Here is a 26,530-nt window from a genome sequence, read left to right on the forward strand (position 1 = left end):
TGAGCTAAGGAGAATTTTAGAATCATGCAATTTACTCTGGAGGCATTTACTGTACATAGCTATAGTGATGGTAATTTCTTTCATTGTTGAAGTGAAAAGATAACCATCAATCAGTTGTCAATTGGTCAATTGCAGAAGTGATGAAAAGAAACTGGTAGGAACAATCACTTCTGTGGCTACCTAGACCATTTGGAGGCATAAGAAAAGTATGGGAACTGGATTGCATTTTAAAAAGGGATTGGACCAGATTTTCAAAAAGGTTAATAGGCATAACTTCTTTGTAAAGGATGGCTTTGCAGTTATGCATAATCAGGAAATGCATTTTAAAAATGAAAAATTTTAAAGACAATGAAAAGTTTAAAAGTAAAAATTATTTATTTAATTAGATCAGGTAAATAAGCCCAGAAGACCTTGAATTTCAGTGTGTTCCTAATGGAGGAATAAATATAGTTTACTAATAACCCAACACATGTATTTAAAACAAATTAATGAAAATTACTTTGCACTCATGCCTTAGGTTCTAATCTTGGACACTTTGAAATAAATAACTTTCCAAGTATTTATTATGAGAAATAGAACATACAAGCTAATTGTGAACACTGTTTTTAAGCAAATATTTACAGATAATTTAATTTTTTTGAACCTATGGAAGTTTATATAAAGGTTAAGATAAGAGCAATTTAAAAAATCATTAACTTGCATAAAAGGCAAATGGCACACTTAGGGACTTAGTGCTGTAAGCAAGATTTCATTTTAATTTATCCTATTTTCCTAAGAATGGCAATGTTATTGATTTATTCTGAGAGAGTTCCCCACACACATAGTGATTTTTTTTTTTTTTTTACCGTGGTAGGTAATAAAAAGGATTACAGGCCCCCAGAAGGATGAGATATCATCAGTTTGTAATCCAGCCCATGGTTTCCTAGATACCGTATTGTCTATTCTGTTCCGCTATGTGAAAAATGTTGAATATCAACAATGGGTTTCAGTGCTGTATTGTTGAGTTTTGTATGAACTAATCTAGCTTCTCTAAAAAAAAAAAAAAAAAAAAAAAAAAGAAAGAAAAGAAAGAAAGAAAAGAAAGAAAGAAAGAAAAAAAAAGAAAAGAAAAAAAAGAGAACCACAGCTTTGGACAAAAGTCTATAGCCAGTGCATTTGAAAACTCCCCTTGCACCAGGGCTGACTGTAGCTGGGGGAAGACATTTTACTCATTTGCTCTTTCCTTTCATACAGTCAGCTGGTCCCTCTTCTCAGGTGTAGATCACCTATTATAATTTTACCTAATTTTGATACTCTGATAAGGAAAGTCCCAGGACTTATCAGCTGGGATAGGCCTCACTTACAAGACAGCTCTGTTCAGTATTTGGAAGGTAAGCTATTTGCACAACTTCTCTGCTGTAGTGTACTGGCCTAGCTCTAAAACTTTGCAGTACATCACTTATTTTTAACTTTCACTTTTTTTCTCTTTTCTTCTTTTGGAGAAAGAAAGCCTGACAGGTTTCTTCGGAAAAGTGGCCATCCATGGAATGAATGAAATGTTCTCTTTCTATTCCAGTAAGTAATTGACTTGTAACTAAAAATTGAACTAGCTGCTATGTCAGCTGCAATGTGAGCTGCTGCTGGCACAGGTGTTGCTTACTCTTTAGCCTGGAAAGAAAAGGGGTTTAAACTGTGATTAAATTTCAAGTCAATTGACCTCAACATGATAGTACATAATTCTCACTTGCCTACCAAATGGCCTGAGTTCTCATTTTGACCCTGATTCTGACACCTGCGTTTTTAATGTTTGGTGTAGCTAAAGCTATGGTTGCTCTTTTGTTTAGAAATAAAGTGGGTAGAGAACAGTTCTAAGTAAATAACAAATGGTAGCCAGCCGAATGAGTCTTTAATACAGCGCTCAACGTGTTCGATTTTTTTAATGCATTAACTCTGAGTTCATGTAAATTATTATTCAATCTTTTCTTTTTAAACAGTATGGATTTATGGGTAACAATTTACTAACTATGGATACACAGTAAATCCAAATCAGTGAATTACAAATAAGGAAAGGATGTGAGAATTTTGATGTTAAGTGCTTTCAAATTAACTTTGATTATGTAACATATCATAGGCGAAATATGCCTTGCACTTCAATTATTTTTGAGCCCTAGGAATGAAATAGCAGCATTGTTTTTCTTCCTTAGTATAAATAGAACAAAAGTCTCCTTAACTTAAGCAAGATGACCGTATTTGAGTTTGGGAGACAAACCTTTATCTTTTCCCAAAAGCAAAATAAAAATCATCTAAAATTTAGTGACATCTAAAATTACAATTTACACTTAAGGCTATTCTCCATTCATTTTTTGTAAAATGGTTGCATGCTAAGGATTGATCTGTAAGATGAGAGCACCCATGGATTGTTGTTTTTTCCTCCTAACTTCCTTTCTAACCTGGGAATTAGGAGAACTTGCTGATGATGCTTGCTTAACCCTGCTTTTAGTGCCAGGCTGTAACTAGCTCTCTGTGAAACCATTTCTGATCCTCTGCTTGCAGTGGTGAGCCTGAATTTTTCCCCCTCCTGGCCCATCACTGTCAGTCAATTATAAGATTGAACTGAACCAGAAAATCTGGTACAGTCTGGTAATTACTACAAAGGGTTTCCAGTCTAGTGTAAAGACAGAGATGCAAGAGCCCCAGCAGTCTCAGAAATCGTTTTGATTGGCCATGGACATTGCCTTTTAGTGCTGCTTGGTGACTTCCTAAAGATATTGCCTCCTACCCTACAGGTCTTCTCCTTCAAGTACATTATGGGCCTTTTTTAAAAGTCGTGCGTGTGTGTGTGTGTGTGTGTGTGTGTGTGTGTGTGTGTTCATGTGTGTTCGTGTGTGTGTGTTTCTTTTTTTAGATTCAACTTCTCCCATTTTTAGTCTGTCATTTTTGCCTATCAAACAGACACATTTTGACTTGCCCAACAAAGAACCAAGTTATCAACACTCACAGAAACTGACATTTTTAATTCAGGCTTCATTATGTCTTTGAATTATGACAGTGACATACAAAGACATTTTAAGGGTTTTTCATTGTTTTTTAAAAATCCAGCATTGGGATGTTTATCTTTCTTTAGTATTCATATTTCCCTTTCTACCTTTATTCTCAGTAATATATAATTAGCATTATCAAAACCATCAGCTATTATCCTTTCTGACTTTTGACCTTTATTTTTTAAATAAGCCTCAAGCTAACATTCTCCAGAATAAGAAAAATTCCCTAACAGATTTTAATGAAATATTTTAGGATTATTTTAAAACATGAATCCCTTTTAAACATCAACACTACATGACTAGACAAGTAATGGGTCTTACGATAAAACAATAGCAACAAAATAAATTTGATGAAAAATTATTTTGTAAATCTAACTTGCATTTGATGGTAAGTGCGATTTTATAGTGTGTATTTCATCAGACATTTTAAACCATTACTTTGGAGTTCTTTGCTTATTATGAAAGGTTGTTTGGGGTAAATTCTTATTTTTTACAGAAGCAAACATTCTTTTTGATTATAGATTACAACGACTCATTAGTCATATCAGATATAGTGAAAGTGTTTGGTAATTTGTCGATATAACAAGTGCCTATCCCAAAAGATAGATTATGTCTATCTTATTTTTTTTAATTTGCTTTAAGGACAAGTTTAATGTCTGACACCCTGCACAAAATTGCAAAAGCAGCAGTGCCCAAAAGAAAAACAATCAAAAGAAAGCACAGGGTTTTCATCTCCAAGAATGCTATCTTTAGGACAATCTGCATCATGAATTTAGTTGTGATGTGTGTTGTGAATCTTCTAAAGGATCCTTTATTTATCTACACCTTAATGTAGCTTTAAATATCTGCTTTATTTCTATGTATAATCTTAACAAAAGTAGTTACATTACCATGCCTGGTACTGATTTTTACATCTGACTTTTTGCTGTTACATTTCAAGAAGGTTAATATTGCTTTTGTAACCCTGTCATGAGTAATGCATTTTCCCAGTAAACATGTCATAATGTTAAAGGCTGTTCAAGAAGCAGTGTTTCTGTTGAAACAGTTTTGTATTTATTTCTCTATTGTTTATTATCCATAATATAGTGTAAGGCTTTGAAAAGAACACGCATATTTATGTAATTAACACTTTTTGTTATTAGGAAAGCCTTCCCATTAAAAACTAAGAGAGTCTAAGAAAACTATATAAATGGGCAACTTTTCAGGAAAAATATTTGCATTCGATTTTAATTTGCCATCAAGCTTATATGTTAAAATGTATACATAAAGTGACTGAGGGAAGGGTACTTTCTGGTGTTTTTTTTCTTATTTTTTAATCTAAAATATATGTTGAAATTCAAAAGGTGTTCACCACATGCAGTGTGGCAGCGTTCAATATTCTTTAACAGCTGTATACTGTGTGGGTCTGTATGAAGTTACAGGGGCTCACAAGCTTTATAACGGACACAAACATTCTTTTCTATTTCAGTCTTAACTCCTAGAAGCAGGAGTAAGACTTGGAAAGAACCAAGCAGCCTCCTGCCCCACTGAGACCAGAGTACCTCTGCTATTATCTGCTGTGTATATTAGAGTTCCATTAAGATTTACTCATGAAAATCCCATGCTAGAAAGAAAAAGTGAAACATTACTGACTGAGGCTATCTTATAGAAAAGGAAAGCAGGGTTTACTCAAGGTTGTACACTGAGTGAGTGACAGTGTCAATTTTATCACCCAGTTTCTTGTCTCCTGGTCCCAGGCTTACTCTCCTAACCAGACACAGTCATGGCTCTGTATGTCCAGGCCTCCTAAACTATATTGCTAAAAGCTCACACCAAGAGATTCACAGCCATATGTTTAAAATCAGGATGCTTCCTGAAGATATAGTATCTAGGTGGTAAATGGAATTTTTTAACATTATAGACCAAAATCAAGCCCTTTATTTGGCAATATTATTCATTCTGGCTGCATTGTTGTAGCTGTTAGGTAAAAGATTGATTCCTCTTACTTCTTAGTAAAGTAATATTTTGGAGGTTTCTTAATGGTATTTCTAATTGTGGTAAAAAAATAAAATTTACTACCCTCACCATTTTTAACGGTATAGTTCAGTAATGTTAACTTAAGTGGTATTTTTTACAGTAGAAAAATAATTAGTACTTAAATCCAAAAGAAAGAAATTTTTTTTAAAAAACTGAATTAAGATGCTAATTTTTCAAAACATGTTTTATGGAATACCATCCCTATAAGCTATGCCAGCTAAAAAAAAAATAACACGGTCAAATAATTTATGTCCTTCTCTAAGAAATTCACAATGAAAATTTGTACTTGAAAAACTCTGGTAAATCATAAAGATCTCTTTGAACCTTGTATAATATAGTGTATCCCAAACTATTTTTCCATAGGTTTCCCCCAACCTATTTTGCCAAAAAGTCTATTTTTATTCTTCAGAGCTAATATTTTTAACACATTTTAGGAAATTTTCCTCTAATCCAACCTTTGCAGATTAAAAAAGATCTATAAAGTGATGTTTATACTATTTATGTTCACTGGCTCTGTGTTTACAAATCTTTTATCTTTATCTTATGGTAGTAAATCTCATTAATTCAATCACTCAACAAATATTTAGGCATGGGCTAAGTGCTGGGAATACAGTAATGAGTAAATCAGTCAGAACCCCTGACCTTACAGAGTTTACAGTCTGGGAAAGAAGTCACTGAAAGTGCTCTAATGTGAAAGTCAGAAGAAGGGAAGAAAGAAAAGAAGAAAGCAAGAAAGGGAGGAAACAAAAAAGGAGGGAGGGAGGGATGGAGGGAAGGAAGGAAGGAAGGGAGGGAGGAAGGGAGGGAGGGAGAGAGGGAAAAGGAAAGAAAGGAATGAATGAATACAGGAAGCACAAGCAATATTAGCTGTTTCTAACACTTATAGCTTATCTGGCTATGTTTTTTGTTGTTGTTTTTCCTCATTCTGAAATGAGAGAAGAGGGAAAGGGGGAAAAACTCCATCAGTTCAGTGGTCTGGTCTTTGAATAGAGATAGAAATAATATTTCTTTGAAAGCTACGTATGTATCAGCAATTGATTCTATGATAGTTCTCTAGCAATTCAAAGATGGGCTTCTATTGCTTAGAAGGGAAGGAGATAGAAAGAGAAGGAGAGAAGAAAAGGAGAGGAAAGGAGGAAGGAAAAAAGAAAAGAAAATGCATTTTCTGGTCTTCCCTCCTATTGTGGCATCTTAGCTGTTGATGTTACCTTCCATATAAGAAGATTCCTTTCAAGCGTCAGCAGAAGACCTTATTTGATGGTAACCATGGGTCCTACCTCTGTCAGGACATATTGCTTCTGACTATCTATCCATCCTTCTCTCTCAGGCTCTGACCTTCATGCTGGGAACCTTTCTTCATGGGAGTGGAATGTGTCTCCTAAGCAAAGGAAAAGGATAGGCCCATAGGCATATCATTGTTATCCAGCATCTTACTCATCCTTAGAGCTCCTACACAAAAATACAAATCATGATCCTGCCAAAAAGGAGCACTTGAAAGGCTGAAGAAGGGCCTCATCTTCTTGTTGGACTGTTGTCCAGTGTTCCACTTCCTTGTATGAAACTGAATGCCTTGCATCCTAACTCCTGTGTATACCACTTGAAAATACATATTGTAGGTGACTGCCCTTTGATCACAGAGATTAGGGAAGCAGGAAAGATTGCAAAATCTAAAAGAAAAAAAAAAGGCTTATAACTAAGAGAAAAAGAAGGAGGACCTTATGCCCACTCTGGTTTGTTACCTGCATTTTTCATCATGGATGTGTCACATGTGAGTTCTGTGAATCAGTGCTGAGCTGAATTCTCTGGGATATTGCAACTTTGTTTTGCTTTTTCTTTCTTTCTCATCCCAGCATTTCCTTCAATGGGAACAATGTGACATAAAATTATTATCAGAATACTGCGAGGAAAAGAACTTAGAAAATAATTTGGAATTTTCAAGTTAAAATTAAGAGCTGTGTTAGTAGGCTTCCTTCCTCTAGTTAGCTGGGAATCAATTTTCTAATTCAGTCTCTCCTCTCTGTCATTTGTCTATTGATATATGCTAGGCCATGCAGTATTTGCCTCTTTTTATTCCTTTTAATTAACTTTTTAAAATCAATTATGATTATTTATATGGATTCCTATTCTCTCTTCTCATCAAATTTGTTTGGCTTACTTTTTATTTACATGCCACTACCCACTGCTGTGAATTAACAATAACAAAAAATCTGCACTCTTCCCTTCCACCTCTTGAACTGGAGAAACAGTTAGCTAATAAGAGGCTAAATGAGCCTTAGAGTATAGAGAAGCTGGAATCCTTAAATTATTTAAATTGAAAAATGGCTGGTTTTACAATCAGAAAAACTCAAGTGGACCGTAAGCCCCTACTTGATTGTTCCCCCTTATCTGGATGATCTTGTAATGACAGCTGGAGTTATCTGCCATCAGCATCACTGTCCACAAAAGCTTCTACTCTCTCTGCTCAACTCTTCAGCAGCCCTGGGGAGCTGGGGCTGTTTCAGGGGAGAGGGCCCTAGAGGATTGGAAACTTTATTAAAATGCAAAGCTCTCTCTAGTGACATAAAAGCTCAGTAAAGGGTAATGGATCTAAAATCACAGAGCCAGAAATTATCTGCAGAATGAAAAAAACTGAGATTTCATATACTGTAGGCTAGGGTCAGTGTAAAATAAGGGGCAATATAAAATAAATAGCAGTTTAAAATAAGGAGCAAGAGATAGAAGGAAAAGAAAATGTAGTGTTTCAACATCAATAGTGCAACAAACGCCACATGTGTCAGACTGGCCCTTGTAGAATTCTGTCTCAGGAAGTGACCCAATGAAATGTATTATGGGAAGTCAGGATAGTTGTCTGCTTTGAAAGTTTAGAGAAGTGCCCCCAAACCTTCCTGATTTTCTCTTGATAAGCAATTCATTCTTGGGCTACCACCCATTAATTTTCTGAAACTTATTGTTGCTAATAGAATTGGTAGTAACAGATAGTAATAGGACCCCATCACACTTTTGCTTGACATCTGAATGTGGGCTCTCCCTTCACTGGCCTTATGAAAATGAGGAATCTAATTCACAAACTGTATATTTTAAATGTATTTGCTCATTTTGATCCATTTTACTTTAAAAATTAAAGAGTAAGATCTTAATTCATTTAACTCAAAGGACTCCACTTAAGATTACTCACTAATAAGTTAAATGTTGAAATGAAAATTGAGGCACTAAAAGATAGAACAATTATATAATTTGTCTTAAACAATGGCAATTAGTAGCAGAATGAAAAACGGCATCCAGGTGATTTCAGTTTGCATATACTAAATTATTCAAAAATCCTTTATTTTATATTCTAAATTTCTTACTAGAAAAAAATGACTGTCAGCATGAAAAAGTCATAAGTAATATTCAAAATAGCCCATTGCTCTTAAAAGGCAGAGTAGTATGTTCCCTTCTGCACATTACTACTTTGAAAACAGTTCTCAGGGAAATTTATTATCATCATCACTACCCTGACAACTACCTACCGACAATCATTTATTGAGTGCTTACCGTATTTCTCCCTTCTCCAGGTCTTATCTTCAAGCCTCGTTTTCCCTTCTGCTCAGAACTTTAAAAAAAAAAATCAGTGTTGGGTTAAATTACTTAACTGATAATTTCTCTTTTCATGCAACTAGCAAGTTCAGTTAGCAAATGAAAAGCTAAATGAAGTATTCATTCCTTCATCTTCAGCAGAAGACATTAAAATTACCAGTCAGATCACAAGTACTTCATGTATCAGGAGAATTCCCACCCCACACATATATATAATGATTTGGCTTCATTTTTTCCAAAAATTTTGTATTTACCCTTCACACATTTAAAAACTGATTTTTAGTGATGAGAAAAGGTTGATAGAATTACTTAGGACTTTTTTTTTTCATTTTTAGTGCAGAGATAGCTTCAGGTGTGACTTTATAAACAAGCTTTCATCTCCAATGTAAGAAAACAAGGTTCTCTCTGTCCCCCGAAAAGAGACTGGGTACTGGAACACAGAGAAGCTCCTTTGTCTGGGTCTCCCCTTCACCCTCCATTAGTATGCACTGCTGCAAACTTGAGGCACAGTGAAGAACTTCTTTGACTTGGGAGGGTGGTTTTTATAAAACCCCAAGCTTTGTTCCACAGGGACACTCATGTCAAATAGCAGTCCCCCATAGTAATTGTAACTCCATCATATTCTCCCATTCAAAACAGTGTACTGGGGTATGAGTGAAAGCAATACTATTGCAAGGATAATCTTGAATTTGCTGTAATTCATTCTTAAATATATTGTCTGCAAACACCAGAACTTTATTATTATTTCATACTTCTTAGAACAGATCTCAATCACAGCTGATCATGGCACATTGATCTCATGAAACTGGGGTTAAGACATATCCTTTTAGTGAAATTGGCAACTAAATTGGCAGAGCTACTAAGAAATGGAGATTCTTAGATCTGTGGAGCTGAGACTTGAGAAGGTACTCTGACCAACCATTGGCTCTTGAGACTATTTCAGCAAATGATTGGAGCACATCATACTGCTTTTCTCCTTCCAACCTGATGTCTCCTCACACCAGGTTGACTCAACAGCCTTATGTTTATGGAGCAAGACAGGACAGAGTTATTGTTTACCTTAAACTAGGATCGAAATAATCATAAAATGCCGAAATATGATTAATAGCATAAAACTAATTTTATGTGTCGTAACTAAATTTCTGTCTTTTTACTAATTGCATTATTGGCATGTGTTAGCTTAGGCTTTATGTTGAAAACTAAATTATTTTTGAAGTTTTTAGTGTTCAAAGTGTGATGATTTTCTGGGGAATTTTTTCAAAGCCCAGTACTGAGACTATGCTCCAGACAAGTTGAATAAGAGCTTCTGAGGATGGGACCCAGACATCAGTATTTTTTAAAGCTCCACAGATTATTCCAAAGTGCAGCCAAGGTTAAGAACCACCAGTCTAAGGAAGGGAAAAAGGTGGGAGAAGGGGGAATCAGTATAGGGAGATATTAGGAAACTAATTTAGTCATGCAGTTATAATTGGTGCTATTTTGATTTGTTAACCTGATAGTCTGAGAGCATCCAATGACCACTAGATGAGCCTAAGACATCCCCAGTTATCACTCCCTGCTTCTGTGCATCTAATCCTGTGGAGATTTGTAATCCTGGGAACCAAGGGCAGGAGGAAACTGTGACATCTCTATAGCTGCAGGATTCTTTGCTCTTTAATAAAGTCAGGGCAAGCTTAATCCCACATAGTTCATAGGGAGGCTCAAAATGGATGGAGGAAAACCTGTCTCTATCCCTCTCTTCAAAGGCAGGTACAAATAAAGAGTCCTAGGATTACTGCAAATTTCCTAAGAATAAAAAACATTCAGACAAGAGTTAAAAAATATTACAGTGTCTATTGTGAGCAAAGTGCTAACCTAATCCTTACTACAACTCTGTGAGGCAGGTATTAGATGTGCTCCCATTTTACAGAGGAAGACACTGAGAAACAGTAACAAGAAAGCTGCCCAAGGTCATACAGATAATGTGTGCCTAAGTCTGGACTTTTTACTCTAAGACAGATGGAAAACTGACCAAAGGTCACCCTAGCTATTCATGGACAGCTGTCTGTGTCAAAAGAATCTTCCTTTCTTTAGATAAAGAATCAAATTAGTATGCTAATTGTGTTCTTTGCTAGTATGTGTAAGCAAGCATTATACTCACAGACATGGAAAAGAACCTTAGTATTCAGACATCAGTATGGCATTTGTTGTCTTTTGAAACATCACCACTAGTTCTCATGACCAATTTGAGTCTATTGGAGTTTCTTCAATTAAAAAAAAAAAAAAAAGTTGGAATAGCTAAGATAACCCAGCATACGCATCTAAGCTCAAGCTTACATCAAACCTTGAAAACAGGGTAGAACTCCTCCTTATAATATTTCTGAAAATGGAAATCCTCTTGACTTAGTAGTGATAAAAACGAAAAAAAATTTTGTATGTTCTCCCTCTAAAGTCTTAGAATTTGATAGTGTAATTGGGATGTGGCATCAACCCCAAACAGCTGCAGCTATCTGTTTCATATTTTGTAAACTTTTTCTGAACCAGAAATTGCTAGTTACCTAAGACAGCAGCCTAAGGTAGGGCCAACCCTCAACCAATGTGAAGAAAGCAGTTTATCTTTTATTTACTCAACCAAGCGTTGTCTTGTGTCTATTATGTGCTAGGCACTATTCTTCCAGATCTTTCCCAGCTTACTGACATTTCTTGTCCCTCTTCCTCTCATGCTCCCAACATCCGTATCCCCTGTCCCTGTACCCTCTGGGTCAAAACCCACTCTCAGATACCTCACTCCCATGAAGGTAAATGTGGTTAATAACAGCTTTAACAAGTTATTATTTCCAGGATTATAGGTATTATAACAGGGACCAGATCATTTAATCTAAAAGGGTGATGGTCTTGTGGTATAATTATAGGCAGGGGTTTCCTGAAGACAGTTGAAACCTTCTCCAGTCTTGCAACTCAGGTGGCAGCCTATGACTCTCCTGAGGTCAGGGCCATGCATTTTCATGTTTTTATTTTTATTTTTATTTATTTATTTATTGAGACGGAGTCTCGCTCTGTTGCCCAGGCTGGAGTGCAGTGGCGGGATCTTGGCTCACTGCAACCTCCGCCTCCCGGGTTCAAGCAATTCTCCTGCCTCAGCCTTCTGAGTAGCTGGGATTACAGGTGCCCGCCAGCACGCCTGGCTAATTTTTTTTTTTTTTTGTATTTTTAGTAGAGACAGGATTTCACCATCTTGGCCAGGCTGGTCTTGGACTCCTGACCTCGTGACCCACCTACCTCGGCCTCCCAAAATGCTGGGATTACAGGTGTGATTCATGTTTTTATCCCAAATGCTTGGCACAGTGACTTTTCCAGTTGGAACTCAATAACGAAGGAAGCTCTGGCCTGAGGAAAGCAAGTTGCAATAATAAAGATGTCCTGACACAGATGAATGGGAAGATGTTGGATTCATTTTGAGCCAAACTGGTATGAGGAGGTCAGCTAAAAGCATGAAGAGGAGATAACCTAGTCCCATCAATTGAATTCTCCTAGGAGCCAGGGTCAGATTTGAGAAACTTCTGGAGGATCCAGTTAGCTTTAGAAGCTGTAGATCTGGTTTTACTTAGCAGTTCTGGTCCATTTTAATTTGTTACATTTGCGTTTCACTGAAATTGGTATAAAAAGTAAATAAAACGTTCAAAAAATATTTATTGAGTACCTACTATGTACCAGAAATGTGGCTAGGCATTGTGGATATTGCTGTATAAATCCCAATTCCTGCCCTCTTGAAGCTAACATTCTACTTAAAGAAACTGATATGAAACCATTAATTATATAATTCAGTATTTAATTGGAGTCATATTAAATGCTACAAAGGAAAAATGCAAAGTACTGAAAAAACACACAACAGAAGGATGTGATCTAATATAGAATATCAGGCAAACCTTCTCAGAAATAAAAATTATATATATATATATATATGTATAGAGAGAGAGAGAGAGAGAGAAAGGAATATAAAGATAAATGAGGCATATCTTTAGAGAGAGAGAGAGAGGAATATAAAGATAAATGAGACATATCTTTAGAGAGAGAGAGAGAGAGAGAGCAAGAGAGCTGATACCTAAAAGATGAGTGGGAGTTAGCTAAGCGGAGAATTTATAAATGGAGTGGACATTTCTAATAAACACCTTTAACATTCAATACGCTAGAGCTAATTCTCAGATCAATCTTCTTGCTAACAATTGTCTTGGTTCCTTTTCTTGAGGTTGTTCACATAAGAAACATTTTGAGGTCTTTGTGACAAGCTGCTTATTCTGGGCTCTAAATTCAAATAAAACATTGGCATAGAGAAATAAATCATTTCCATAGATGTCAACATCTTTGTGAGACACACAAGTGTATTATAATCTCACCCGTTACTGTTTCACCTAGGTCGTTAGCATGAATACCCATTTGAGATACCCCATCATTACACTCTAGGCCAGAAGCTTTCAAATTCTGAAATGTCCACAGACAAGACTTTCTATTTCACTCTGTCCAGAAACCTTGAGTAAAAGAAAAGGAGGTAGGAAAAGGAAATGAGTCAGGGAACTGAAAACACCAGAGAGAGCCCGGTCTGTGTAAGGGATATTTTCACCATCCCCACCCTGTTAACTCAGTACTTCGTACGTTCACAAAAAGACATTCCCAAGTTCGTCATGCTATTTTATGCAGCACCTTCCCTTGGCCCGCTTCTTCAGCTAATTAAATTCTCATTCCTAAAAACTCAGTTCTGGCATGTTATCCTCTTACCCCACTGTCCCAGTCTAATTTAGATACACCTCCTTTGTGATCTCATAGCTTGCTACGCTTTTATATCTTATGGCTGTATAATAATAATTGATTTACTTATCTAACTTATCTTCTTCTTGAGAGAAGTAGTTCCTTGAGGGCAAGGCTCATGTTTTAATCATTTTTGTACCCCTCATTTCTAGCAGAGTACTTAAAAAGAATCCTTTCAATGACTTCATATTCATGCATGATAGTTACTTTTCCTTCCTTAGCCCCTAGAGAGACATGGAAACTTAGATTTTGTTTATCCAGTAAACAAGGCTGGTTTTGTATGTAGGAAACTTTTGACCCATCCCAGTCTGAAATTCTTCTCCATTTACAGATAAGCCTATTTTAGTTACCTTGACTAAGGTATTGCTCTAGAGACTTCCTTTGAAAAACCTCTTAATAAAAAAACAGACCAGTCTACATGATCCCACTGACCAATACATTTGTCAGGAACAAAATTGAGCTGGGCATGGTGATGCGTGCCTATAGTTCCAGCTACTAAGGAGACTGAGGCAGGAGGACTCCTTTAGTCTATCTCTAAAAAAAAAAAAAAAAAAAAAAAATTAAGTTAAAACAAAAAACAATATGGGTTTTGATGTTCTATTTGGTATAGGACACAACCATATGTTTAAGTGTGATCTTTTAGTCAGTGTATTTAGAATAATTTCCATGTTTCATGTTAGAAATGGCATAATTTGCAGACTAGAAGAAAGAAAGGAATAAACTATGTCTAGCAGAATACTTGTCAACTAGTAAGATGAGAAAAGGAAAGGATACATTAATGAAGGAATAATTGAATGCATGGATAAACACAGTACAACCCAAAAGAATCATCAAGCCATAAGCTAGAATAAGGACTTATCATTGACAAAAACGACAAAGCCATCAAACAAAAAATAAAAGCTATTGGAAGATCACATTTTCCAGTCAAACAGGACCCAGATATTATTCAAATACCTAAAAAGAAAAGAATGTGTTTTTTTAAAATACTAGTGTATAGAGACAAAAGTTTGAGACATGAGGAAGAAGTATTATAAATTCCAGAAAAATCCTCTTCCCACCCAATCTTTCCTCTCACACCCACCGCTACACACACACACACCATTGTGCTATATACACACAAGTCATAGTTGTCTACTTGCTTTTCCTGAAATAACCATGATTAGAAAAAGAGGAAGTTAGGGTAAGAGAAAGTTCCTTCCCACTGAAATTTCCTCCTTCTATTCCTGCCTATCATTCTTCAAGATAAGCATAAATGCTACCTCCTCTCTGACAACCTGTTTTTGATTTACTGTAGCCCCCAGCTAATTGCTCCTTTCCTCTGCACTACCACTACAGCTTACCTCATCCCTCTTTTGCACTTATGTCACCATCTTTTATTAGAGTTAGCTGCGTACATCTTTCCTTCCTCTATCATAGGAGCTTTGGACAAGGGGCTATGTCTCATTTATCTTTATATTCCGCTCTCCCTCTCTTCCTTCTCCATTCCTATCGCAGTGCCTGGCAAAAGTAAGAACTCAGAAAATGTTTGTGGGATGGAAGGAAGGGGGAAAGAAAAAAAAGGAACAAAGTTTATTTCTGAAGAAAATGCCATTTGTCTCCCTTCTCCAAAGTATTTTCTTTTTCTAAAATCAGGGAGCAGCCTTTGTTTTTCCCCTAGGTATTAGGGTGTGTGCCCTTGAATACCTTACTTTGGCAAAAAGCCAACATTCCATCTCCAACCAGCTGAGTCATTTTCAGTTTTTTTGTGGTTCATTCATGCTTTTCTCCTTTATTGACACATTAACATTTCATGGTGAGTAGGTCCTGTTCAGCTGGCAGCCCCTCTCAGCCCCAACACCTCTAAGCTGTCCTCACTTCGCTAGTTCCCAATTGCCTGTCTCTCTGGGAGCTCTCTGTCATCATCATCAACTGGCAGCAGAAGAATTGTTTGTTTGCTGTTGCTATACCTATGTTTTGATAATTAACATGAAACAAACTCAGAGAATGAGAGAACTCTGTTAGCAGCTCTCTTTTCTTATGTGTTGTTTTCAAAAGCTCCCAGTTTGTTTTTAAGAAAAAGAGAAAAATATGGATAATGAAAACACTAGATAGATCTAAAATCCGTTTAATTTGATATCTTGTCAAAATCCTTCCTTTTAAATTTTTCTCCAATACCTATACATCTATTACTTCCATGCCATCTGCAATAGTGACTCTCAATGAGTTTCTAGTTTGCTCTGTTTTGTAGGTCATCAATTTGTACCTTAACCTAAAAAATAGTATTAATCCTAGGCTAGGTGTGGTGGCTCATGCCAATAGTCCCAACACTTTGGGAAGCCAAGGTGAGAGGATCACTTGAAGCCTGGAGTTTGAGACCAGCCTGTGCCACATAGTAAGACCCCATCCATAACAAAAAAAAAAAAAAAAAGTTTTTAAATTTAAAATAGCATTAATCCATGAGCAAATTTAGTAATTAAAAATCTAGTCTCTCTAAAGCATGGCATACAAGGGTTGTTGTTTATTGGTTTCTGAGAGGAAATACCACACAGAAAAAATTATGTTACAAGGTTACAAATTTACCTTTGCATCTTGCCCGTAGTAGGTGCTCAATAACTTCCTGCTGACAGACTGATTAGTTTTAGTAGCTCCCTGTTATTTCCAAATAGACAACATTTTTCAGACTTTTCTGATCCATAATGAAACATACTTTTTCTTAAGGCTGTGGAAATAGAATAATTCTTATTGCGAGGTTATTTATTACCAGCCAGACCCTCATCTCGCTCTACGGGGCTCTGATAATCACCTATTTCAGAAGCCATTAGCCTTCTGTGTGTTGTAAAGCACTCTTCACTATAACATATCTATGCCTTTGTATTCTAAGGGGAGGAATGGTGTGTACTGAAGTAACAGACCTCTGTTGACCAAGTAAGAAAGTCTTTGATGCACAAATAGTAAATTAAATTGCTTTTATTTGATAGTGTTGAAATTAAACAGTGTGTGGAATCCATGCCCAGGCATGAGAATATGTACATTCTTTCAAATGTTCAATATTACTGAAACAGATGTATAAGAAAAATACACATTGAAAAAAATGTAATACTCACTCAAGGTTTAGGTACTTACAGGAGGACAGCAGGAGCTGGATTTAACTTATTGATTTTAGAGCCACTGTTTTTTTAAAAAAGAGGTGAAATATTGCTTTTACTGTTTTCAGATAATAGTGACTGTTGTTGCAAATTATAAAATTTAATTAGCTATATAAATGCCAGAGGAACAAATAATGTGCTATTGTCTTGATATCTTTCCAGAAATTAGTCTTTTAAAATAAATTTGCCATATTAATCATCTAAAAATATTTTTGATCACTGAATTAATAGTTTGCAGCCTGTTTTCAGGTACTCATTGCCATAGGTGATTGCTTCTTAATTACTACATGGGCTTTTTCTATTCACTCATATTAATTCATGTTTTCTGGCACAGTCCCAAAAGGCAGCTTGCCCTATATCTTCTAATTACTTCTATAATTGAATTTGCCCACTTTTTCTAACCTATTTTTTAAACTGACTGTGTTTGTTCATGGTTTATTGTGTCTTTTTTGTGTCAGTTCTCTGCAAGCAGAATGTACATTGATTCTTTCCTCGTTTCTCATTAATTTTCAAGAGCTTTGCTGCATGTCTGTTTTTTCAGTCTGTCAGACCTATTGCTAGACTCCCCCCCTCAAAAAAAGGCTCTTATTATTAAAGGTTAGGTAAAATAGACTGAAGTTAATTAATTCATTAGTAACTCTGAGCCAATTACTGAAGCCTTCTCTTATTTATATACTTGTTAACAAGACAGAAATAAGAAAGGCCAATTACAGGCTCATGTCCTTCAGAAGTTCAGCAAACCCAGAGCTTATGCATTTATTGACATCACTTCAAAAAATTCAGTTTATATATCATATGTGTGAAATTTCTTTTTAAAAAATTGTTAGTTAACACTCTATTCTATCCCTTCCATTAATAAATTTTAGAGGTGTTTTTCTGCCATCTAGATATCATAAATATATCTAATGTTACTACATCCTCCTAAAATCTTTCTAGGGAGTACTGCTTAGCCTTAGAGCAATTACAGGAATAAATTTGGCATATTTTCTGATTTTCATTATTCTCCTCTTGTCTAAACTATTAAGGTTTTAATTCTTGAAATGGGACAATTCATTAGCAGATCTCACAACTGTAGTCACTTGACATATGTTTTACTTTTTTTAATTGAATATACCAAAGATTTACAACATGTGGAAAGGAAGGTTTTTTTATATTTTTCTTCATGACCAGTATAAAAAATTCTAATTGTCTCATGCACACAAACTACCTGCCCAATACATACTACAACTGTGACTTCCCCTTCCCTGCCTCACAAATATTTTGTTAATTTCACAGGAGTTAGGAAGAAAGGGGATGGACACTTAACCAGTTTTCTATCTATTGATACTGTCTCCATATGTTGATGTCAGCATGAGGCCACAAATCAGTGAAGAGTCACTTGATGCTAATGTTTCAGTAAATTAATTGGTTGTTTGAATTAAAACCCATTTGAGTTTTTTTTTTTAAACTTTTGAAATATGATATGGATTTGGGTTATCATAGTACAGTGATGCCAAAGTAATGTCACAGTTACTGCTACCTAACTTTTAGTTTTTTCCTCAGTCCTAGGTATATTAAAATTTAATCAGTTATTTCATTTCATAATAATGGCAATCACAGCATCATCGAGCAAGAAAAGTCTCACCAGATTATTTGATAATAATATCAATATTTGATAATGTCCTTGATTCTTGGAAAACTAATGGAAAAATAGTTGTCTACCTAATACAGGAAGCCGTTCTTAATACCTCTTATAGCAATGTAAACACTTTCTTGCCCCAGAATTCTCATGCTGTCTTATTTATAACTATTTTATAGAACTTTTCACTTTCTACTATGCATTATAGTAACTTTCTCTGCTGAATTATTAGCAAATTGAAGGCAGTAACTGTGTTTTATGTACTTTGTAGCCCCAGAATTTTAGCCCAATGCCTGCAAATAGTAAGCTCTCAATCAGCATATGTCAAATGAATTAGGGATGAGGAGTCCTAATCTCTCTTTAACTTCAGCGTCTAACCTCCCTCACTACTTTGGCTAACTAAAGAATCTCTTGCTTGAAATCGGTTAATGTATCTTAATTTTCTGTGGTAACTACAATACATTGGTAACAGATGTTCCATTATTAATGCATTATGTAGGCTTCTTTGCTCCAAGATTTAAAATCTGTATTAATTTTTCCTCAGATGAGCTGTTTTTCATTCCTTTAATTACTATATAGCTATATTTTTAATTTCTTATGGCTTTACCGACCTCAGGTCTGTGACTTTGGGCCAAGACCACACAGGCCCTTGTTACTCTTCCCACTCCCATGTGTGGCACAGTCTCTGTATTTTCAGAAACACCTATGAGAATCGGAAATTAGCTTTCCTGGACTCCTTCACTCCTTAGGGCTTTTACCCACCAACTCTTCATGCTCCTGCTTCAGTGAGGCTAGTTTTCCTTCAGCTAACTTTTGTATATTATCCCTGCCTTTCTTTCTTTTTACTTCCTTTTTCTTTCTTCCTTTCTTCTGTCTCTTTTCTTTCTATTTGTTTTTTAAAATAATATATTTTATAGCCATGTCTCCTAATAGCAGTGCTTTATATATTTATAATGAGTTCCCTGTGTAGAAGCTTTTGTCACAGATAACTTCTCACTTGATTCTTACAGGCCAAGTTCTATGCAGATGAGGAAACTAAATTCAGAGAGGTTAAGTGACTTGCCCAAGGTCACACAGCTAGGTTACAATTTCAGTTTTTACATTTTTAACTTGTTGGCCTCCTTATGAAAATGAAACACAGAAGAGTTCCTTTTCTTAGTTAAGTCTTATCTTTTGTGTAAGGAAAATACCTAATGTAGACCCCCAAAAGCTACATTTGTAGCCAGGTGAATATTTTTCCAGTAATTATATAGATCATTATAAAAAGAAAATGTAGCCTAGTCTAGTGCTTCTGCAACTTCAATGTGCATATAGGATCCTGTGAAAATGCAGATTTTGATTCAGTAGGTCTGTAGTCCTCATGAGCTCCCCGGGGAGCCAAAGCCACCAGTCCATAGGCCTTACTTGGAGTAGTTAGGTCCAATGCACAGAGTAGGGCTTTAGAGCCAGAGATGCTTGATTCACATCGTAGCGCTTCTGTTTACTAACCGTGATCTTGGGCAAGCTCCTTCACCTCTCTGAGCCTGTTTCTTCATTCTTAAAATGAGAATAATAATATATATCTTACTCGCTGAAAGCCAAGCTGGCTTGCAGGGAATTGACTTTTAGTGACTTGGCCTGCTTCCACTACACACTACTACCAGATTAATCTTCCTAAAGCCTCTTTCACTCAGAACTTTCCAGTGAGCCCCATGGCCTGGTGAATTACATACACACTCCTCTTCCCCTTGAGCCTCAAATGTCTGATGTAATAGTCACAAGTCATATTTCTAGCTTGATCTCTTCCTACTTCCTACTGACACTCATGTGTTACTAACACAGAGATTTCCTGTTTCATCTCTCTGATTCACTTTTGTCCTACCCAACCCTTCATCATATCCATAAAAATCTCACCCTTCCATTAAGTCCCTTCTTTCATCCAGGCTCTGGCTGGAAGCATTCTCCCTATTGTCTACCCTCTATTGCTCCCCAAAACTCCCACACATATCGAGTTAGGTCTCACTGGTATTTGAATTTTTCTAACAGTGTGTTTATATCTCTGGACAGTTTCTTTACATTTTTATCTTATATTCTAGTATTTCTATAATGGTGTCTAAGTTCCATGAGGATGTGGATCCGATATCGTTCAGATAGCACAGTGGCAAGAACTCAGCCCTGAGGCCCACAGACCTGAGCATGTACCTCAGGTCAGCTCTGCCATTTGCCAGCTTGTTTGCCTTAGACAGGTCTCCTAAACCATCTGAGCAAAAAGTAGGTGCCAGTAATACCTAACTTGCAGTTACTAGGAAGAAATTTTGTATTAAAAATACTTTACATGGTATCCAACGCACAGGAAGGGCTCCTGTCAGCGAAACTGAATGAATTAGAACTGACTGTTTAATCCCAACACAACTCAGACATTCATTCTAGTTGTGTTAACACTGGATTCAAGCCCAGACTTCCAGTTTGTATGAGTATTTTAACATTTTCTTTTCCGGTTATGTTTATGTCAGTATTAAGTCTTATCAGAATATTCCATATTCTGCCTCTTGAAATCAAAGCACATTTGTTGATCTAGCTCCAATAGGTATAACTTAAATGTGATGATGAAAAGGTAACATAGTGTGCTTTTATTTTAAAGCATGTAGTTTATAGTTAAACCTAGGTTTGAATCTAAACCTAGTGGTTGCCTTAACCTCTCCAAGCTATGGTAATATCTAAGTTGAATTTGGGATTTTTTTTAACTTTTTTTACTCTTAAAAATAATTAGAGGAAGAATATATGAAATAGAAAAATATTTATAGAAACAAGTAGCATATTAGTTCTACAGCCCAAAACACTAATAATATTATAATATTATCATGGATGAGGGGGATAACTCTAAACACCCCAAATAGCCCCCCTTTTGTAAGTTGAATTTACATATATTTATCCTAGAGAATTTAAGTATTCTGTTTATTTCAGTAATTGGTAAGGAGCAGTACATTTTTTTAAACTTCCTATCAGCTAATTTCAAAAAGAACTATATTTAATAAGCTATATCATCATTTAGTTTAACTTTTTGGAGAACAAAATTAAACGATTTTAAAAGTAGAAGTTAAATGATGCCAGTGTAATCAAAGTTGACTCAATGCTTAGACACAGTGTAAGAGATGAATCAAAGTTGCATCTGAACTTAGGGCAACAGAACCAAAGTCACAGCTATAGTCAGTATGTTGTTTTGTTGATGTGGGTAAAGAGGGTTTTCAAAAGAAAAATAGAAAATGGGGCAAACCTTGTTTTAATCAGGGAGTATATGGAAAGAAAATTAAATGCCTATATTAAAACCTATTCTTTCATACTACCAATAACATTTTTCCTTAGCCTCTAGAGACCATCAAAAAACAATGGCTCATAATGCTTTTAGAACAGAAACTGAAGTTGTATACTGTGCATATGTAATCCTACACAAGAGGAAGGCAATGTTTAAAGCTGCTGTCACCTCTTAGGGAAAAAACTGGAATTCTGAGTCAAGTATGTATGCATTTTCTGTTTTCCTGTCTTGTGGGTCTTTATGACTAAAAACATTTTTATGAAATTGCTCTCTGCTTCTTTAAGCTTTGTGTGGTCTTGTTTGTTTGTTCTCAAATCTCAAACCATGCCATAGTTAGGAAACATCTTGAGTTGTTAAAAGTTAAAGAAATTGTATTTTGTTTATGAGCAAAAGAGCAGGCCAAGCAATGTCTTCAGAAACAAAGATCTTATTTTATTTAAAGAAGTTCCTTTTTGTTATAAGCTAGAATGAAGAATGATTTCAGGACAATGAGACAGAAACTACCTCTTGAAAGCTGTAATGTTGAAGCTGGCTACATAGCTAAAATAGAGTAGACTGATTTTCTTTTCTAGGCCTGTTTGGTCAATTTAAACCATATTAATGGGTGATCAAACCCTGAAGAGTTCTCTGAGGATTTAAGTTACCAGCCCACAATATACTGACAATCCACTGAACAACAACAAAACAACATTTAATTTCACTTTATGCAGCACAAACGCAGACTGAGACACTCTATCAAATGGTTAAGAGCATGGGTTTCAAGTCAGATCCACCTGGATGTGAGCTCTGGGTCTAGCACTTGCTAACCATGTAATCTTGGGCAATTTAACTTCATGAATTCTATTTCTTCATCTGTATTATAGGAATGAGGCCATATTTCATGAGAGTAAGATGCATTTTTTTTCACATTTTAACATCTCTGATGTTAGAATGCATGTTACAATTGATGGTGTGTCTTCATTCAATTGCCAACACTTTTTCTTTTCTTACTAGTACATAACTGTGTAATTACAACCTATGACATTTGAGATTCAATTAAATAATTAACATATACCTCATAGAGTTGTTCTGAGATATAAATAAAATAATGATGTAGAACCTTATGTCCTATAAAACCTGCCCCACGGAAGACTTCTAGTAAATCATACCAGTTAATGTTGTACAGTGTGATGTTTGTAAAGTCTGGCATTTTCCTGTCTTGTTAGTCATAATTTCTGTTTGCCAACTCTAAAAGTTAATTTCTTTGCAAAAATCTTTTTGTTGGAACAGTCTGCCTACTGAGTAGCTCGTCAAATTTCCTCTAATTGTTCTGGCAGCATGACATTGACCCTACGGGTTTACATATGAAATATGGTCAAAATAAAGGTTTTATGAAAGTCCATATTGACTTGTCTGATGAGTTGTTTGCAGACAAAAAGAAGAGTATGTAGTGTGCATGCTTCAACAGTGCCTGGCCCACAGGAAGCACTATAGAAGTGGTGTTGAGAGGCAGCAGCATGCAGGGTGGTTAAAGGGAGAGGCTCTCGAGCCAAATTGGCTGCGATCAAATCCTGGCTTTTCCCCTTACAAGCTGTGTAACTTTGGACAAATAATCTCTCTGTGGCCTCCATGTTCTCATACAGTTGTGAGAATTAAATGAGCTAATATACTGAAAGCAATTGTACAAAAAAGGTGCTAGATAAGTTTTCTGCTACTGGAGGAAATACACCTTTCTTTTATTTAAGTACCTTTAAAAGGTCTGAGGTTTTTCATACTGAAAAAGAATATTCCAGTAAGTTTACTTTTTTTTTTCCTTTTTGAGACAGAGTCTCTGTCGCCCAGGCTGGAGTGCAGTGGTGCAGTCTCTGCTCACTGCAACCCCCACTGCCCCAGTTCAAGCAATTCTCCTGCTTCAGCCTCCTGAGTAGCTGGGATTACAGGCATGAGCCACCATGCCTGGCTAATTTTTCTATTTTTAGTAGAGATGAGGGTTCACTATGTTCACCAGGCTGGTCTCGAAAGCCTGACCTCAGGTGATCTGCACGTCTCAGCCTCCCGAAGTGCTGGGATTACAGGTGTGAGCCACCATGCCCAGCCAATAAATTTACTTGTCAAGCAGGTGATTGTTATAATTCTGACTGTAAGAGGCTTCTAGTGTATAAAACACATAACCTATAAACATGCCATTGAGATATTTGTGATCATGTGGCACAGCTCTTAAAACTGGTTTGTCTAGCAGTAAACGTATGACTGAAAACAAAATATCAGATAAGTCTGAGATTGCTTCTAACAGCCTCTAGAGTGTCTGTATAATATTATCTTGTATGGCTTAAAATCCAGTTAGTATAGGTCAGCCTATACTCCAAGAAAGGGTCATTATGCCTAGGATTTTCAGAAGGGCTTCCTTCTAGCATTTATTCACTGGTAACCCATATTGTTCTAATTTTTTAAGGTTGCAAACTGGCTGCTATGCTGGAATAACTATGGCCATCAAGCATGTATCTCTAAGCATCAACACTGGTGCTTAGTTGGCTTTTAACTTATTGATCACACCTTTTACATATAGAGAACTTCAAAATGAAATAAAACTTATCTATAGTTTTTCATTATTTTTGAGTGGTAATTATGTGTTAATTCAGCTGAACAATTGCAATTAGTATTATTTCTTTGTAACCAAGACACATTTTTTACTTTTCTTTTCTCCCTTTGTTTGCATTTTATTCACTCTCTAATGTCAATATCAAGAAACTATAGGCTGGGCATGGTGGCTCATGCCTATAATTCTAGCGTTTGGTGCAGGGTAGGGGGCGCCAAGGCAGGAGGATTACTTAGCCCAGGAGTTTAAAACCAGCCTTGACAACATAGCAAGATCTTATCTCTACAAAAAAGTAAAAAATTAGCTGGGTGCGGTGGCATGAGTCTGTAGTCCTAGCTAGTCAGGCGGCTGAGGCAGGAGGATCACTTGAGCCCAGGAGTTCAAGGTTGCAGTGAGTCATGTGCGCACCACTCCATTACAGCCCGGGTGGCAGAGTAAGGCCTCAACTCAAAAAAAAAAAAAAAAAAATTAAAATTAAATAAAAACCTATGTGTCCAGTGTGTTGAAACATTGATGTCCAGACAACTTCACTCTAAAGTTCAGTTCTGTCGCTCAGCTCACCCCCTAATATCCAATGAGTTAATAATAACTTATGTGATAAGGTTAATAATAGCTTATGTGATGATAATAATAATCACTTAAAAATAATAATAACTTATGTGATAAGTTAATAATAGCTCATGTGATAAGGGCTGGGTGGCCCTCTTTATCCTGTGGCTCTGCCACGGAATACATGTTTTCCAAGACCACCTTCACAGGAAGAGCAAGACCCGAAGCAACCCTTTTGGGAGCCACTTCCAGAAATGGCTTACAAGACTTCTGTGCCCCAATTCTTTTGGCACACATCCAGTCACAAGGCCCAACCAAATTACAAGGGAGGCTAGGAAATATCTTCCCTAGTGTCTAGGAAGAGAAAATCATGTGGTGAATAGCATTTTCTCCACCATAGCCATACAGCTGTGTAAGTTGGGTTACTTAACCTCCCTGAGCCTCAGCTTAGATGATAATACTTACCTTGCAAAGCTTCTGTGAGGATTAAATGGGGAAAAGCACTTAGCATGTGGTAAGTACTTTATTAACTTGTTGTATATTATTACTAATAATTAATAGTTTCTCCCTAAACACACAAACATACACAGGACCCAAGTCATTAGCACCTGAGCCTCTGGTCCTCTTTAGTCTGACCCTCTGCTGACCCTTTAGTTCCTATCCAGCCGGGGTTCAGGACTTAAGGCAGGCAAGACTCTTGCCCATGAGATGTGACTGTGACTAGCATCATACTCCAGGAGCTAGGATATGGGAAATCAAAGCCAAAGATGCTGAAAATGAACCCTAGCTCCTTCAGGAGTCTTGGGGGAAGGACTGTAAATACATTAACGTGGTAGAGAGGAGAATCATCAGTTGCGTAAAATTATGCTTAAAAGAGACCAAGTCTTAAGATAGCAGCTGAGCCAGATGTATTGGCTCATACCTGTAATCCCAGCACTTTAGGAGGCCGAGATGTGTAGATCACTTGAGGTCAGGAGTTCGAGACCAGCCTGGCCAACATGGCGAAACCCCATCTCTACTAAAAATACAAAAATTAGCCAGGCGTGGTGGCACGTGCCTGTAATCCCAGCTACTCAGGAGGCTGAGGCACGAGAATTGCTTGAACCCGGGAGGCGAAGTTTGCAGTGAGCGGTGATTGTACCACTGCACTCCAGCCTGGGCGACAGAGTGAGACTTCATAAAAAAAAAAAAAAATGGCAACTGAAAGAAAGGAATAAAATGAACACATATTGATATTTCAAATTTGGCAGGCATCATCATGCCAAGGCTTTCACACAAATGGCCTCCTTTAATTATCACAAGGATCCTTAGGTAAGAATCATTAACCCCAGCTTCCAGTAGGATTAAAGTAACACACCCGGGCTTACATAGCTAAAAAGTGACATATTTAAAATTGAGTCTTCAGAGTCCTAATGTTCTTTGTTCCATGACAGCACTTCACACCTCTTAGTCATGCTGAATCGTGCTAAGGATCAATAGATCTCAAGGAATATACCAGAAGTGTTTCTTGCCCAGGGGAAAGGGAAGTAGACCCATTATCTTCAAGCAATTCTCCTTCTCCTACTTCCCACAAGACCAAAAGCGAAACTCAGAATCAACGTAGGGTACAATATATTTTAGTTAACCTCTCCCAAGCACAGACAAATACACCCTTATCTGTTTGCTAATGTCTGAAATTCATTTCGCTGAGGGAGGTTATGTGTATGTGGATGGATTTCCATTAACATACATGTAAGACCATACATCTCATTTGGGTCATATAGAAGATGGAAAGATTTTACTGAGTAAAGCAAGAATTTGGATGAAGAAAGCTTTCAAACCAGGGCCACAGCTTCCTGACTTCAGTCTGACAGCCAAAAAATGGTCCAGATGTAGTCTTGAGTCCTCTGTAGCCATGCAGGCTTAGAATATGGTGGGAACTGGTCCCATGGAACAGTCCCATGAACTGAACTCTGAGTACCATGCCATAAAGTGCCC

General features: G+C 36.6%; 1 long non-coding RNA gene across 6 annotated transcripts in view; it reads left to right on the forward strand.

Moving 5' to 3' along the window:
- Window positions 1-26,530, forward strand: part of SOX2-OT (SOX2 overlapping transcript) — a 685,549-nt gene that overhangs the window by 552,696 nt on the left and 106,323 nt on the right. For 3 of the 6 annotated variants that reach the window (NR_004053.3, NR_075089.1, NR_075090.1), the window contains exons 1-2: window positions 959-1,370; window positions 1,486-1,554. This is a non-coding gene — a long non-coding RNA (SOX2 overlapping transcript). Of the gene's footprint in view, window positions 1-958; window positions 1,371-1,485; window positions 1,555-26,530 lie in introns of those variants that run through there. The other 3 variants (NR_075091.1, NR_075092.1, NR_075093.1) reach the window with 1 other exon arrangement.

This window comes from Homo sapiens, chromosome 3 (genome assembly GCF_000001405.40).
Source record: "Homo sapiens chromosome 3, GRCh38.p14 Primary Assembly".
Lineage (NCBI taxonomy): Eukaryota > Metazoa > Chordata > Mammalia > Primates > Hominidae > Homo > Homo sapiens.